Source organism: Homo sapiens, chromosome 2 (assembly GCF_000001405.40).
Source record: "Homo sapiens chromosome 2, GRCh38.p14 Primary Assembly".
Lineage (NCBI taxonomy): Eukaryota > Metazoa > Chordata > Mammalia > Primates > Hominidae > Homo > Homo sapiens.
In genome coordinates, this window is record NC_000002.12 from 232,930,012 (window position 1) to 232,946,411 (window position 16,400).

Consider the following 16,400-nt stretch of genomic DNA (forward strand, 5'->3'; position numbering starts at 1 on the left):
TTCGCCTTCTGCCATGATTGTGAGGCCATGTGGAATTGTGAGTCCATTAAATCTCTTTTTCTTTATAAATTACCCAGTCTCAGGTATGTCTTTATCAGCCGCGTGAGAGCGGAGTAATACAGGGTGTCATCAGAACCCAGTGTAAACAGCAGACACATTTCTCATAGTTCCAGAGGCTGGAAGGCTGAGCTCAGAGTGACACCATGGTCTGTTGCTGGTAAGGCCCTCCTCTGTGTCACCGACTGCTGACTTCTTATGGTAGCCCCATATGATGCAAAGAGAGAGAGAGAGTACTCTGGGCTCTCTCTCTCTCTCTTTTTTTTTTTGAAATGGACTCTCGCTCTGTTGCCCAGGCTGGAGTGCAATGGCGCGATCTCGGCTTACTGCAACTTCTGCCTCCCGGGTTCAAGCGATTCTCCTGCCTCAGGCTCCCAAGCAGCTGGGACTACAGGCACCCGCCACCACGCCTGGCTAATTTTTGTATTTTTAGTAGAGATGGGGTTTCACCATATCATAGAGACAGGGTTTCACCATTTCGCCAGGCTGGTCTTAATCTCCAGACCTTGTGATCCACCTGCCTTGGCCTCCCAAAGTGCTGGGATTATAGGTGTGAGCCACCACGCCTGGCCTCTCTGGGGTCTCTTTTATAGGGTACTAATCCCATTCATGAGGGATCCACCCTCATGGCCTTGCCACCTCTCAAAGGCCCCACCACCTAATACCCATCACCCTGGGAGTTAGGATTTCAACACGTGAATGTTGCGGGAGACACAGACATTCAGTCCATAATATTCCACCCTGGTCCCCCAAAAGTCGTGTGCTTCTTGCATGTAAAATACATTCATTCCATCTTAACAACCCAAAAGTTTTAACTTGTTCCAGCATCAACTCTAAAGTCTGAAGTCCGAAGTCTCATCTAAATATCATCTCAATCAGGTGTGGGTGACACCCAAGGTGTGATTTATCCAGAAGCAAAAATTCCTTTCCAGCTGTGAATGTGTGAAACTAGAAAAATTCTATGTTTCCAAAATACAATGGTGAGACAGGCAGAGGATAAAAAATCCCATTCCAAAAGGGAAAAATAGAAAAAGAGAGAGAGGAAGGAAGGAAGAGAACAGGAAAGAGGTGACAGGTCCCAAGTAAGTTTAAAGCCTAGCAAGGCAAATTCCATGAGGAAGATTCTCCAAAGCTGGAGAATAATGCTCTCTGCCTTGATGCTCTGCCTGCAGTGCCCACTGGTGTGGCACTGTCACCCCCACAGCTGGGTGGGGCACTGTCTACTCTGTGCCTCTCCGTTATTTGGTGGCTCATACCACGCTTCTCTGTCAGAGGTGTGAAGCTGTTGTGTTTTGTGGAAGGTAGAAATTGGATATTTAGTTGAGTGGATTTCTGGGCAAAGTGTCTAAGGAGTGGCTTGGTTCTTCCTGACAAACATAGTAAAATTTGAGAAGAGAAGAGTAATTTGAAGATGGAGCTGTTAAGCAAAAAGTAAGCAGAATTCAAGGATTTGAAAGAATCCTCAGCCTTTCCGTATTACAAGCTATGAGAAAACATTCAGAAGAGAACACCAAGGGTGTGATGGACAGACCATTTGATAAGGAGATGAGTGTGAGTGTGAAATACAGACTTAACCGTCCCAACAAAAGCCAAGAATAGAGGTGAGATTCTACCAGCAGAAACAGTGCCAGCTGGGCCTGAGGAAACGGAGAAAGTGGGACAAAATGAAGGAAGGAAGATTGTTGGACTTCTTAGATCCTGCAGGACTGGACATAGAACCATTTGGCTGAAAACACATGTGATTCTTCCAGACAAGGGGAGAATGACTCAAGAGGCTATTCAGAAATCGTCTGGCTGCCACTCCTTCAACACTTTGCCCAGAAATCCACTCAGCTAAATATCCAATTTCTACCTTCCACAAAGCACAATTCAGCCCAGTTATTTGCCACTTTATGACAAGGACGGCCCTTTCTCCAGTGTCCAGTGACATGCTCCTCATTGCTTTCCAAGGCCTCATTAGAATGGTAACTGGTATGGTAAAATCCATACTTCTACCAGCATTCTGTTCATGATGACTTAGTATTGGCTAAGAAGATACAAGTGTTCTCTACAGCTCCCCTCTATTCTTTATGAGTTCTCTCCAGAATCACCTTTCTTTTTTTTTTTTTTTTTTTGAGACAGAATCTTGCTCTATTGCCCAGGCTGGAGTGCAGTGGCACGATTTTGGTTCACTGCAAGCTCCACCTCCTGGGTTCAAGTGATTCTCCTGTCTCAGCCTCCCAAGTAGCTGGGATTAAAGGTGCGCACCATCATGCCTGGCTAAACTTTTTGTATTTTTAGTAGAGATGGGGTTTCACCATGTTGGCCGGGCTGGTCTCGAACTCCTGACCTCGTGATCCACCCGACTCGGCCTCCCAAAGTGCTGGGATTACAGGCACGAGTCACCAGGCCTGGCCCAGAATCCCCTTTCAAATTCCATCCATGGCGATCTAGGCTTTTTTTCTAGCATGTGCCTCAAAACTCTTCTAGCCTCTACCCATTACCAAAGCCACTACCACATTTTTAGCAGTACCTTCACTTCTTAGTATCAATTTCTGTCTTAGTTCAGGCAAAGTGCTGTAGTCTGGGGGCCTATAAACAACAGAAATTTATTTCTCCCAGTCTGGAGGCTGGAAGTCTGAGATCATGGTGCCAGCCTGGGCTGGTTCTGTGAAGGGCTTACTTCCTGGCTGCGGACGGCTGACTCCTTGTATCCTCATGCGTTAGAAAGAGGGCTTGGGAGCTCTCTGAGATCTCTTTTAAAGGACACTAAGGGCCGAGTGCGGTGGCTCACACCTTTAATCCCAGCACTTTGAAAGGCTGAGTCGGGTGGATCACCTGAGGTCAGGAGTTCGAGACCAGCCTGGCCAACATGATGAAACCCTGTCTCTACTAAAAATACAAAAAAAAAATTAGCTCAGCATGGTGGTAGGTGCCTGTAATCCCAGCTACTTGGGAGGCTGAGGCAGGAGAATCGCTTGAACCCAGGAGACGGAGGTTGCAGTAAGCTGAGGTCGTGCCATTGCACTCCAGCCTGGGGAACAAGAGTGAAACTCCATCTCAAAAATAAATAAATAAATAAATAAATAAATAAATAAATAAATGGCACTAAACCCATTCATGAGGATGCTGCCCTCTAGACCCAACTTCTCAAAGGCCCTACCTTCCAATATCATCACTTTGTGATGGAATTTTGCAGGAGAGATTAAACATTCAGTCCACAGCAGCCCCTAAACAACTAAAATTCAGCATAACTGACAGTGCACCCACCGTCTCCCCCAGCTCCCCTCTCCAGCAGCAAACCAGGAGCCAAGTAGAACTTGGGCGCTGGCCTCCGTGTCTGTACTTCCTGTCACCCAGTGTGCCAATGGCTCACCAAGCTCCCTGGATCCCACAAGCAGTCCCCTTCCCTGGTAACTGGACTACTTCAAGTCCCTCCTCTCCCCAAGCCACCCTTCTCTCTGCCCCTCTCTGGCAATAAGGGTCTGATTTTGTCCCCTCCTTGCTCAAACATCTTGGTTGGAATCCCATCCCTCTGAGGGTGAAGCCCAGCCCCTTGTGCTGTGACAGGTCCCTCACCAGCTGTCCCATGCATTTGTGAGCTTGGTGGTGGGCACTGGCCTCCCCAGCTCTCTGAGGCTTTGGCCTCTGCACAGTTCTCCAGGTTCTGGGCTTTTTCAAGTGCTGTTCCCTCCCCTAGGACTGTGCTCTCCTAATGACGCCCTTGCCCTTCCAGGTCTAGGCACATTGGGTGTCCCCACCAGGCCCCTTCTGCTGTCTAGCCTGCAGTTGCTGCCTGGCACTGTGATGTTCTGTCACGAAGGCATCCTTCCAGGAAGCCATGGGCTCCTTAGGATGGGCACCCTGCTGCCTCACTCATCTTTCATCAGGAGCCAGACAAAAACCCTTTATGAGGCGGGGCACAGTGGCTCACACCTGTAATCCCAGCACTTTGGGAGGCCGAGGCAGGCGGATCACAAGGTCAGGAGATTGAGACCATCCTGGCCAATATGGTGAAACCCTGTCTCTAGTAAAAATACGAAAATTAGCTGGGCGTGATGGCACGCACCTGTAGTCACAGCTACTTGGGGGGTTGAGGCAGGAGAATCACTTGAACCCAGGAGGCAGGGGTTGCAGTGAGCCGAGATTGCGCCACTGTACTCCAGCCTGGGTGACAGAGCGAGACTGCATCTCAAAAAAAAAAAAAAAAAAAAGAAAGAGAAAGAAAAACACTCTATGGGCAAACATAGGACTGCCTGGTTTGCGTGGCTTCACTGTCCCTGAATTTGATGTAACACTAAATGGAAGCTATTCCTTTTATGCTCTGCTGCACCAAAGAGGAAGATTCTTTTTTTTTTTAAAGAAAATATTAAAGTGAAATTACGTATGTTAAGATCAGCATAAAGTCTTCCAGTAAAAAATAAGCTAAAAATATCTTTGTAATTATAAAATCAGTTTAGAAAGTCACTGAGTTCTAAGGCATGTAACCTTCAGCTAAATTCCACATGTTCCATTTTCCATTGCGTTTAGTGCTTATTAGGCAGGCTGCTATTAAAATCTCCTTTTAACTGACATTTTGTTCTGAATCATTCACAAAATAAAGTATTGATAAATATTTCAAATATTTATACCTGACTAGCACGTAGTAGGTGCTCTATAAATCTCTGAGAATGGGCCAGGTGCAGTCGCTCACATCTGTAATCCCAGCACTTGGGGAGGCCAAGGTAGGTGGTTTGCTTGAGCCCAGGAGTTCAAGACCAGCCTGGGCAACATGGTGAAACCTCATCTCTAAAAAAGAAAAAATGACAAAATTAGCCAGGCATGGTAGCATGCACCTGCAGTTCCAGCTACTCAGGAGGCTAAGGAGAGAGGATCACTTGAGCCCAGGAGGTGAAGGTTGAAGTATGCCAAGATCGCACTACTGCACTCCAGCCTGGGCAACAGAGTGAGACTCTGTCTCAAAAAAAAAAAATAATAATAAGAATAATTGGTGAATGAATTAAAGTTATATTTTTTAAAATAAGTATTTAGTTATTTTAGGTATTTTATCTAAAGATTATTTTTTCCTTTGGGTTATAAAAGCTAAACATTGGAAGCAAAGTGCATTCTTATTTACATACTAAATTCAGCCTTCAGGAGTTCTTGTTTATGTTTATAAAATTTTTCTTGATCCTGAGGGAGAATCTCTGGAATTGGAAGGAAGTGGATGGAAGCTGAGATTATCTGGTTCAATGCTTTTATTTTACCAAAGGAACAAGACCAAAGGGTTAAATTAGAAACTCAAGACCTGCCAGGCTTGGTGGCTCACGCCTGTTATCCCAGCATTTTGGGAGGCTGAGGCAGGCAGATCACTTGAGGTCAGGAGTTCAAGATCAGCCTGGCCAACATGGTAAAACCCTGTCTCTACTAAAAATACAATAATTAGCCGGGTGTGGTGGCACATGCCTGTAATTCCAGCTACCAGGGAGGCTGAGGCAGGAGAATTGCTTGAGCCCAGGAGGTGGAGGTTACAGTGAGCGGAGATCACACCACCACACTCCAGCCTGGTTGACAGAGTGAGACTCCATTTCAAAAACAAAAAAAAAGAAACTGAAGACCACATAGCTAGCTAATGGCAGCTCTGGAAATATATGATAGTGATTCAACACTATATTGTAGAAAATAAGGAACAGCACATTGCTATTCACTTATTCTATTTTCAGGGTCACATGGTATGTCACCAGACTATCAAATGTTTAAAAACATTTGTATTGTTATATTTAGTAGGAAAATGCATTGAATTTTCTTTTTTTCTTTTTGGTAGTGAGAAGACATTTCTCAAATATATATAGGAAATGTGGTAGCTTTTAATTAACTGTATCTTTTAAATCCATAAACACAGTAGGTTATTTTTGTCACTCAGAACACATTTTCTACTTGCTTTGAAAATCAACAAATTTAATTCACAGAGGCAGAACCAGCAGTCGAACCACAGAAGGCTACAGCCTCAAGAGTTAAATGGACCTCCAAATCTAGGGGGAAAGTGAGGAAAAGGGTAGGATAGATGCTCAGGAAGGGACCACCTCTGTCGCTGCAGCAGTGAGATACCCAGAAACCCATACTCTGTGGATGAAGAGATTTTGCCACAAGGAGACTTTCCAAAAATAAATTGTTTTGTTGTGTGGCTGGAAGTATTTTACCGGTGAGGTGGAGGTGGAGATTTTTCCTTACTTTTCATCAAGAAGATAATTTGTAAATGTGGAATTGTATCACGTTATGGAAATAAGTTAAAAAACAAAATCAGTCTATCCCTGTGTGGTAAAGAATTAACTTTACCCAAAGACAGGTCTGGCTTTTGCCTAGGCTCTTAGGAGGTGCTCTCTAAGCTGTTGGAATGTGGTGTCTGAAAAGAGGCTCTTTCCTTACCCAGGAGCCTTGGCCCACTCTGGATAGGGTGGGGTCTCTGGGTCATGTAGTATCAGTTTTGCCTCCAGAAGGGCTGGAGACTGAGGTCAGCTACCTGGGCAGCCAACCACATCTTTGTGACCAAGCCTCAATAAGAACTCTGGACACCAAGGCACAGGTGGGCATCTCTGGTTGATGGTGCGCCACGCATGTTATCACACATTACTGAGGGGAAGGTTAGCGCTATCTGTGACTCCCAAGGGAGAAGACCACTGGAAGCTTCGTGAGTAGAACTTTTCTGGACTTTCCCCATGCATCTCTTCCCTTGGCTGATTTAACTCTGTATCCTTTCACCGTAATAAACTGTAATGGTGAGTATAACAGCTTTCAGTAAGTTCTGTGAGTTCTTCTAGCAATTTATTGAAACTGAGGGTGAATTTGGGCACCCCCAAACTCTGCCGTTCATGTCAAAAGTGAGAGTGGTCTTGTAGACTGTCCTTTAACTTTGCAGGTCTCTAATCTGATTTATTTTATTTTATTTATTTATTTATTTTTGAGATGGAGTTTCACTCTCATAGCCCAGGCTGGAGTGCAATGGCTCAGTCTCGGCTCACTGCAACGTCTGCATCCCAGGTTCAAGTGATTCTCCTACCTCAGCCTCCAGAGTAGCTGGGATTACAGGTGCGCACCACCATGCCTGGCTCTTTTGTATTTTTAGTAGAGATGGGGTTTCACCATGTTGGCCAGGCTGGTCTTGAACTCCTGACCTCAAGTGATCCACCTGCCTCGGTCTCTCAAAGTGCTGGGATTACAGGTGTGAGCCACTGCACCCAGCCTGTAATCTGATTTAGAACACAGTGACCACTTTCCTCTAACAGCCTTCCTTTCCTCTGGTCTCTTTGTCCCTCCCTCCATCTGTCCTAAATGCAGCTGCTCTGTTAATTTTCCTCACACATGTCTGACCCCACATATCTGTTATCTTCAGTGACTCTTCAGTACCTTGTGGGTAATTCATTGCTCAATGGAGTTAATGGACGATCCAGGCTGGGGCCGCCCAGATGAAAGCTGAGTCACTCCTGACAGCTCCCAGGCCTTGCTCTGTCTTCTGTTAGCACTGCCTGCACGGTTTCTCCTCCCAGTGAACCTGAGCTTTTTGGGGGCAACTATGAAGAGGCCATTGATCTCTGCATCCTCAGCACCAGCACTTCTAGGAGGCATTGGGAAGGGGCTGGCTCGTGAGTTAATATAGGGAAGCCAGTGGGCTCTGTGGTGCCATGCCCTTGGTGTGAGTCTTTCTTCTCCTGCAGTAATTAAGTGGAGCATCAGCTTTTGCTTGGTATCCCATCTTGTGTGTCTTGGGTCAATGATGTTTCTTCAACTGATCTCTTTGGGAACTTGCAGGTAATGGCTTCTGCGATTGGTGCCTAAAGCTTGGGGGAGGTAACTAGTTATGATCTGTCTGTGTGAGTCCAAAAACCATCAAAACTGGATTCGGTGTTTTAGTGAAGTGAAGAGTGTTTTGTTTTTGTTCTTTTGGGATGTGTTGCTCTGGTGGACAGTCATGCTTTTGGTTAACTAGGGAAAAGGCCAGAGGGATCAGGAGACACCTACAAACCCTTGTCTGCTTTAAGAAGAGATGGTAGCACTGCATGAGTTTCAATGGTCATGGGAAGCAGATCCATCATCTCAGGGCTTAATTGCTGAAGACTGGAGATTGCTACGCTGAATTCATTTTCTGAATCAAAAATAGATGGCCAAGAATTTTGCTCTTTTTCCAGGCATAAGAGGCAGCCTGGAGGATATTGCTTGGCTAGTGAAACATTGGAATTTCCAAAGCATTTTGATGGTTCATGTGTCCTTAAAAGGCTTGGACAAATTGCAGCCATATCACCAATTATGAGATGCAGACTATCGCATAGCCTTCATGGAAACGAATTGCCTAAAACAGGCTGCCCCAGATAACTCGTGGATAAGATGCTGCGATGCTTGTGTGTTTATCTGAAACTATGGAAAATGAGGGACATCCTGAGATATGGGTTTCTCTGGACTATTCCTAACCAAGGATCTTAGGATACATAGGGTCTGGGGGTTTGGCTGTGGGCTTTTGACCAAGAGGAGCCTGGGCTTTTGATCAATAGAAGCATCCTGAAGCAAGGGGCACCTAAGGGGTAAATACTATAGGCCGGGTGTGGTGGCTCATGCCTGTAATCCCAGCACCTTGGGAGGCTAAGATGTAGGATCACTTGGAAAGATCCTTGAGCCCAGGAGTTCGAGAGCAACCTGGGCAACATAGTGAGACCCTGTCTTAAGAAAAAAAAAAAAAAAAAGGAAATAAATACAGTAATTTCCTGGATATGCTGAGGGTGAAATTTGAAGTGAATGAGATCAGGAGTTGCCTAGGTGCACATAATTTAGATGTCAGGTTATGGCCACAGGGTTCTTATATTCTTAATTAGAACTCAAACTAGGCCGGGTGTGGTGGCTCATGCCTGTAATCCCAGCACTTTGGGAGGCCGAGGCAGGTGGATCAGAGTTCAGGAGTTCGAGACCAGCCTGGCCAACATGGTGAAACTCCATCTCTACTAAAAATACAAAAATTAGCTGGGTATGGTGGTGGGCACCTGTAATCCCAGCTACTTGGGAGGCTGAGGCAGGAGAATCCCTTGAAACTGGGATGAAGAGGTTGCAGTGAGCCGAGATTGCGCCACTGGACTCCCACCTGGGCAACAGCAAGACTCAGTCTCAAAAAAAAAAAAAAAAAAAAAAAAGGACTCAACCTGTAAAGGAATGAACAGTCCCATTTCCTGGCACTCAGAGTTATTCATCTTAAATCACCTCATAAACTACATAGTTAAATCTAATGTAGTTCCATATTAGTGAGACCAATTTGTAAGCTATAATAAATGAAACAAATAGAAAGTGATATTATTATTATTTAAGTAGTCTACATTTAGTGCTAAAATGCATTCACTATGGTAACAGAGAATGCATTGCCTTAACCATTAACCAAATGGAGCAAAACTTTATGAAACAAGAAAGAAAAATATTCACTCATAAACAAAGTAGACTTGAAGAAGTAGCATGTATTTAATAATAAGAAATTGTTCCTTGAAAATTACAAATAACTGGATTTTAGAAAAGTATCTTCCATAATGAAAAGCTAGTATGTAATATGAAAACTTTACATTACCTATTGAAACAGAAACAACTACCTCACCCTTAACATCCTGTAGAATGTTCTTTGTTGAGTTACCAGTACTAATTATTCAAGAATTTGGTGTCTCGGCCGGGCACGGTGGCTCATGCCTGTAATCCCAGCACTTTGGGAGAATGAGGCAGGTGGATCACCTGAGGTCAGGAGTTCAAGACCAGCCTGGGCAACACGGTGAAACCCCATTTCTATTAAAAATACAAAATTAGCTGGGCGTGGTGCTGCACGCCTGTACTCCCAGTTACTCGGGAGGCTGAGGCAGGAGAATCGCTTGAACCTGGGAGGCGGAGGTTGCAGTGAGCCGAGATCATGTCACTGCACTCCAGCCCGAGCGACAGAGTGGGACTCCATCTTAAAAAAAAAAAAAAAATTTGAGGTCTCACGAGAAGACCAGTGTTTTGGGTAGGGATGGGTCCGTCTAGGAGAGATGTTTGAGACACAGGTGTGACGTGCCACTAAAATCCTTGTTTCTGGGTCCTTGACTTTGTAATGTTGACGGAATTCGTTTCTTCCCAAGAATTCATAGTTTTTCACTATGATTAATATTTCTATTTCAGAGTGTCTCATAAGGAAACTGGTGATAGCACCGTACAAATTAGCACACAATAAGTGAATATCACCATAAAGAAAAACACTATTTCAAAAGCATATCAGAAACACAGCAATCAAAGAGTTTTGGAAATGAACAGCCAGTGGTCGCCAAGGCGTGGAATTCACCAAGGGGTGGAAGCTGTCATTTTCCCCTGGGGGCGGGAGTGTGAATGGATACAACCTTTCAGAGGGCAGTCTGACAACACATATCGTAAATCTGCAAATGCTCCACACTCTTTGGCAAAGAGATTCTACTTCTAGGAATGTTTCCTAGTGAACTATTGAGAGTCTGTGCAAAAAAATGAGCAGCGAGGATTTTTTTAGTGTTATTTATAACAGGGAAATATTTAATGTCCAATAATAGATTGACTATTTAAATGATCACATATTTCTCAAATGGAATACTACAGCATTAAACATTATTTTAGAAGAACATTTAATAATCTGGAAAGACATCCATAGTATTTTAAATAAAAAAGCAGATTGCAAAACTGGATGGTAGTATGCTCTTACTTTGTTTATAAATAGACTTTTATATGTGGAATTTTAAGCGTGTGTATATACTTTTTAAAGGACTAGAAGATTGATCACCAAAAATATTTCATAGTACTTGTTGCTGGTTGGTTGGATTCTAATGAAATTTTCCTCCTTTCGTAACTGGCCAAGGGGTTCACCTTGCTGGCTGCCTAGACAGAGCCAATTCCTCAAGACAGGGGAATTGCAATAGAGAAAGAGTAATTCACGCAGAGCTGGGCTGGCTGTGCGGGAGACCAGAGTTTTATTACTACTCAAATCAGTCTCCTGGAGCATTCAGGGAGCAGAGTTTTTAAGGATAATTTGGTGGGTGGGGAAAAGCCAATGAGCCAAGGGTGCTGATTGGTCGGAGATGAAATCATAGGAAGTCGGAGCTGTCTTCTTGAGCTCAGTCATGTCCTGGGTGGGGGCCACAAGATCAGATGAGCCAGTTTATTGATCTGGGTGGTGCCAGCTGATCCATCAAGTGCTGGGTCTGCAAAATATCTCAAGCACTGATCTTAGGAGCAGTTTAGGGAGGGTCAGAATCTTGTAACTTCCAGCTGCACAACTCTAAGCCATAATTTCTAATCTGTGGCTAATGTTAGTGCTGCAAAGGCAGTCTAGTCCCCAGGCAAGAAGGAGGTCTGCTTTGGGAAAGGGCTGTTACCGTCTTTGTTTAAGCTATAAACTATAAACTAAGTTTCTCCCAAAGTTAGTTCAGCCTACGCCCAGGAATGAACAAGGACAGCTTGGAGGTTAGAAGGAAGATGGATTCAGTTAAGTTAGATCTTTCACTGTCTCAGTCATAATTTTGCAAAGGCGGTTTCACTTTTACTCGTACGTGTTTAAAATTTTTTCTACCATAAATGTGTCACTTATGTAATAAGGGGGAGAAAGTTACTTTAAGAAACAACATCAATCCCTTAATGCGCATAAATGTAGAGCATGGGTTTAAAGCGTTCACGTAGCCATAGGGAGCCTGGTCCACTTGAAAATGATGGACTGCTTTGTAGTCTCCAGATTTATTTGGGGGAAAAACACCTCAATTCACTACATAAATCTACCTCTGCAAAAGCTCTTCAGTTTGCAAAGAATCACGAATTCAACTTTTACAGTAAATTACTTCTTGGCATTGTGAAAATTAAAGCACTTACCTGATATTCTAATCTTCCTGGTTATAAAAATAGTCCCTTTTCCAGAAATTCCCCTTTTCCTTCCATAAATCCACATATACAAGTCCTAACCAGAATGCTTCTTCCTTTTAAATGGAAGCCATAGTCCCATCAGGTGAGTCACCAAAGAAACCACCACCTCCACTCAAAGGCAGGTTTTCCTAACACCACAAGCCCTTCCCTGCCCTCCTGCATGGCTGCATCCCACCTTTACTGGCTCAATGCCACCTCCTCCAGGAAGTCCCCCATCCCATCCAGTGGCTGGCTGTGTTTGTTCACTCTTAAGTCTCCTGGAGCACTTCACCTGGGCTATCAGAAACCCTGATCACTTTATTGGGAAGTTAACTCTCTGTCCTGTTGGACTGGGCAAGGAGACAGGACCTGGCCTGAGTGAGCCTGCCCCACTTGTCGCTGTGAGGGGCAGAGCACCTAGTACACCTTTGAGGCTTTCTACGTACTTGCTGAATCAGCAGATCCGGGGGAAGCTTGAAAGCACGTGGACATTCTTTAGGGATTGTCGGGTTCCTCTCGGTAAATCGACTGATTTACAGAGACAGGGACATCTTCCAGACCCTTTTCCTTTCACTTATTAACGTAAATCTCTCTTTCCTACTCCCTTAAAAGATGAGTGTACCACTGGGCACGGTGGCTCACGCCTGTAAATGGGAATGCTCTGAGAGCTGTCCAACTCACGCCTGTAATCCCAACACTTTGGGAGGCCGAGGTGGGTGGATCACGAGGCCAGGAGTTCGAGACCAGCCTGGCCAACATGGTGAAACCCCGTCTCTACTGAAAATACAAAAATTAGCGCGTGGAGGCGCACGCCTGTCATCCCAGCTACTTGGGAGGCTGAGGCAGGAGACTCCGTCTCAAAAAAAAAAAAAAAGAAAAGAAAAGAAGAAAATGATGAGTGTACCTTGAGCTCAAGTAGTACCATTATTTTCCGGGGGGGAGTCAGTTTACCAGCAGAGAAGTGAAATTTCTTTTTTTTTTTTTTTTTTTTCACTTACTGTTCATCCCTCCCCCGAACTGACCAGTTGCAGCTGCTTTTTCTAATTTTAAAGCCATGTCTCATTTTTTCCATGCAGTGAAGATTGCATGTTAAATTACTGCTGTTTCTAAAATGTTGCTCAGCCCTTGGAGTAGCTTTTATTTGTCACGGAGTCAGTGGGCTGTCTAGGCCTGCTTCTCTGTTTAGCTTTGGCTAAAAAGATAGATGGCCCTTAATAGGTCTCTCCTTCCTTCCTTTTTTTGTGGGGGTCTCAGAGGAAAGTCTTGCCAGAAATACAAGTTTCTATTTGAAATTAGCATTTGTTCTTAAAAAAAAAAAGAGTCTCTAACCTGTCACCAGCTGAGTTTTCTGTTAAGAAGTGATAGATTCTTACCAGGAGAAAAAGAGAGCCGTCTCCACAGGCGTGAGTCAGAGTAATGACAGAAGAGAACAAGAGAAAATTTCTTCTCGTTGAAAACTCCTGAGAATATATCCTGTCCCTTCCTTAAACCCAGGGCCTCAGTTTCCGTACTGCCTGTGCTGTCTCCACCGACTGTATAGTTGCCTTAAAGGTGGAATGCTCTACATTTTTTTTTTTTTTGAGACGGAGTCTCACTCTGTCGCCCAGGCTGGAGTGCAGTGGCGCGATCTCGGCTCACTGCAAGCTCCGCCTCCCGGGTTCACGCCATTCTCCTGCCTCAGCCTCCCGAGTAGCTGGGACTACAGGCGCCCGCCACTAGACCCGACTAATTTTTTGTATTTTTAGTAGAGACGGGGTTTCACTGTGTTAGCCAGGTTGGTCTCAATCTCCTGACCTCGTGATCCGCCCGCCTCAGCCTCCCAAAGTGCTGGGATTACAGGCGTGAGCCACTGTGCCCGGCCCGGAATGCTCTACATTTTCAAGGTTGAAATCTCTTGTGATTACCAAACTAAAACTCAGAGGAAACAGACACTGAAATACATTCCTGATTGGAGAACAAAACTATCCAACCTCATAGAGAAGGGAATTTGACACTAAGTAATAGAACTACAAGTGCAGGCCGGGCGCGGTGGCTCACACCTGTAATCCCAGCACTTTGGGAGGCCGAGGCCGGCGGATCACCTGAGGTCAGGAGTTCCAGACCAGCCTGGCCAACATGGTGAAACCCCGTCTCTACTAAAAGTACAAAAATTAGCCAGGCATGGTGGTCACACACCTGTAATCCCAGCTACTTGGGAGGCTGAGGCAGGAGAATTGCTTGAACCCAGGAGGCAGAGGTTGCAGTGAACTGAGATCGCACCACTGCACTCCAGCCTGGGTGGCAGAGCAAAACTCCGTCTGGGAAAAAATTAAAAAAAAGAAAAGAAGAGAAAAAGAACTACAAGTGCATTTACCCTTCCACCCAGTGACGCCACATCTAATAATTGCCCTGCAGACACACACTCTGAAATAAGAAAAGATATGCACAAGGTTATTCATTGTGGCATTATTTTTGAAAGTAACATATTGGAATCAACCTGAGTACCTATCCTAAGGAGACTGGTTGAATGAACCATGGTATAGTCACCAGAGGAGTGCTATGGCGTTGTAGACATAAGAATGAAGAAGGTGTCCTGGGACTGAAATTAAGTGATTTCCCAAATTCAGTGAGAGAAGCCAGGGATGGAGTTATCTGTGCTGTGTGCTACTTTTGTGAACTAATGATAGAAAGGGAAGCGAAACAATTATACACACACTTCTTTTTTTTTTCCAAAAAGAAATAAGGAAAGAAAAAAAGAGAAATTAATAGAAATGGTTACTTCCAGAGTTGGGCTAGGGGATAAGACTTTTCCGAATATATATATATATATATATATATATATATATATATCTTTTTGGAGATGGAGTCCTGCTCTGTTGCCCAGGCTGGAGTGCAGTGGCATAATCTCGGCTCACTGCAACCACCACCTCTCCGGTTCAAGTGATTCTCCTGCTTCAGCCTCCCCAGTAGCTGGGATTACAGGCGCCTGCCACCACACCGGCCTAATTTTTGTATTTTTAGTAGGGACAGGGTTTCACCATTTTGGCCAGGCTGGTCCAGAACTCCTGACCTCAGGTGATCTGTCCATCTTGGCCTCTTAAAGTGCTGGGATTACAGGCATGAGCCACCACGCCTGGCCTATAGTTTTGACTTATAAACCATGCATATGTTTTATATGCTCAAATAATAAAAGAAATCTAAAAGTATGAAATAAATTCTAGAATTGAAAATAAACCAAAACAAATGAACCTAAGTGATTATAACATTGATAACATAACCCACAGGAAAAAAAATTTAGTTCAAGTAATTTTTCAACATAGTACTTTATTTTTATACCCTGACTGAGGTCTATTCTAGGACTAAAAAAAAAAGAGGCAAATTTTACACTTTGTTTAGTTGGTGTTGTGGGTTGTGTTCCCTAAAAATATATACTCAAGTCCTAACGCCTGGTACCCATGCTTGTGACTTGACTTGGAAATAGGATCCTTGTTGAAGTGGATTGGAGTGGGCTGTAAACCAATGGCTGGTGTCTTTATAAGAGGAGGGAAATTTGGATACACAGACACAGACACAGACACAGACACAGACACAGAGAAAGGAGAATGCTATGTGAAGACATTGGAAGAGCTTGGGGTGAGGCATCTGCCAGCCAAGGAGTGCCAAGGGTGCCAGCCACCACCAGAAGCCAGAGAGAGGCGGGGAGCAGCTTCTCCCCACAGCTCTGAGAGGGAGTGTGGTCCTGACGATGTCTTGCTTTGGCACTTCTGGTCTCCAGAACTGCAAGAGGGCAAATTTTTGTTGTTTAAAAGCCACCCAGTTTGTGGTGCTTTGTTCCAGCGGCCCTAGCAACCAAGACAATAGATTTACTGTTGATTATGGCACAGGTGGAGTCATTCTGAAATTGTTCTGTGTGCATTTGTAGAATAGAGCAATGTCTCACAACATACTGATGTTGAGGACCTGGTTCTCACTGTTAGAAAAGCAACATGTACGAAAAAAAATACTTGCACACCCATGTTTATAGCAGCACAATTCGCAATTGGAAAAAACTCAAATGCCCATCAATCAACTAGTGGATAAACTGTGATATCCATATATATATATTCTATATATATCTATATGCAATATAGATATATGCAATATATATCTGATATATATATATATATGCACACAATGGAATAGTACTCAGCCATAAAAAGGAATGAATTAATGGCATTCGCAGCTACCTAGATAAGATTGGAGACAGTATTCTAAGTGAAGTAACTCAGGAATGGAAAACCAAATATTGTATGTTCTCACTCATAAATGGGAGCTAAGCTATGAGGATACAAAGACGTAAGAATGACACAGTGGACTTTGGGGACTTGGGGGGAAGGTTGGGAAGGGGGTGAGGGATAAAAGATTACAAATTGGGTGCAGTGTATACTGCTCGGCTGATAGATGTACCAAAATCTCACAAATCACCACTAAAGAACTTACTCATATAACAAAACACCACC

At 44.2% G+C, this 16,400-nt stretch overlaps 1 protein-coding gene across 3 annotated transcripts in view; it reads right to left on the reverse strand.

Annotated features, from left to right (window-relative positions):
- Window positions 1-16,400, reverse strand: part of NGEF (neuronal guanine nucleotide exchange factor) — a 134,556-nt gene that overhangs the window by 51,311 nt on the left and 66,845 nt on the right. Inside the window, exon 1 of one of the 3 annotated variants that reach the window (XM_047443880.1) lies at window positions 4,668-4,743. The exons of the other annotated variants lie outside the window; for them this stretch is intronic. The gene's annotated coding sequence lies outside the window, so the exon portion shown is untranslated. Of the gene's footprint in view, window positions 1-4,667; window positions 4,744-16,400 lie in introns of those variants that run through there. 3 annotated transcript variants of the gene reach the window in all.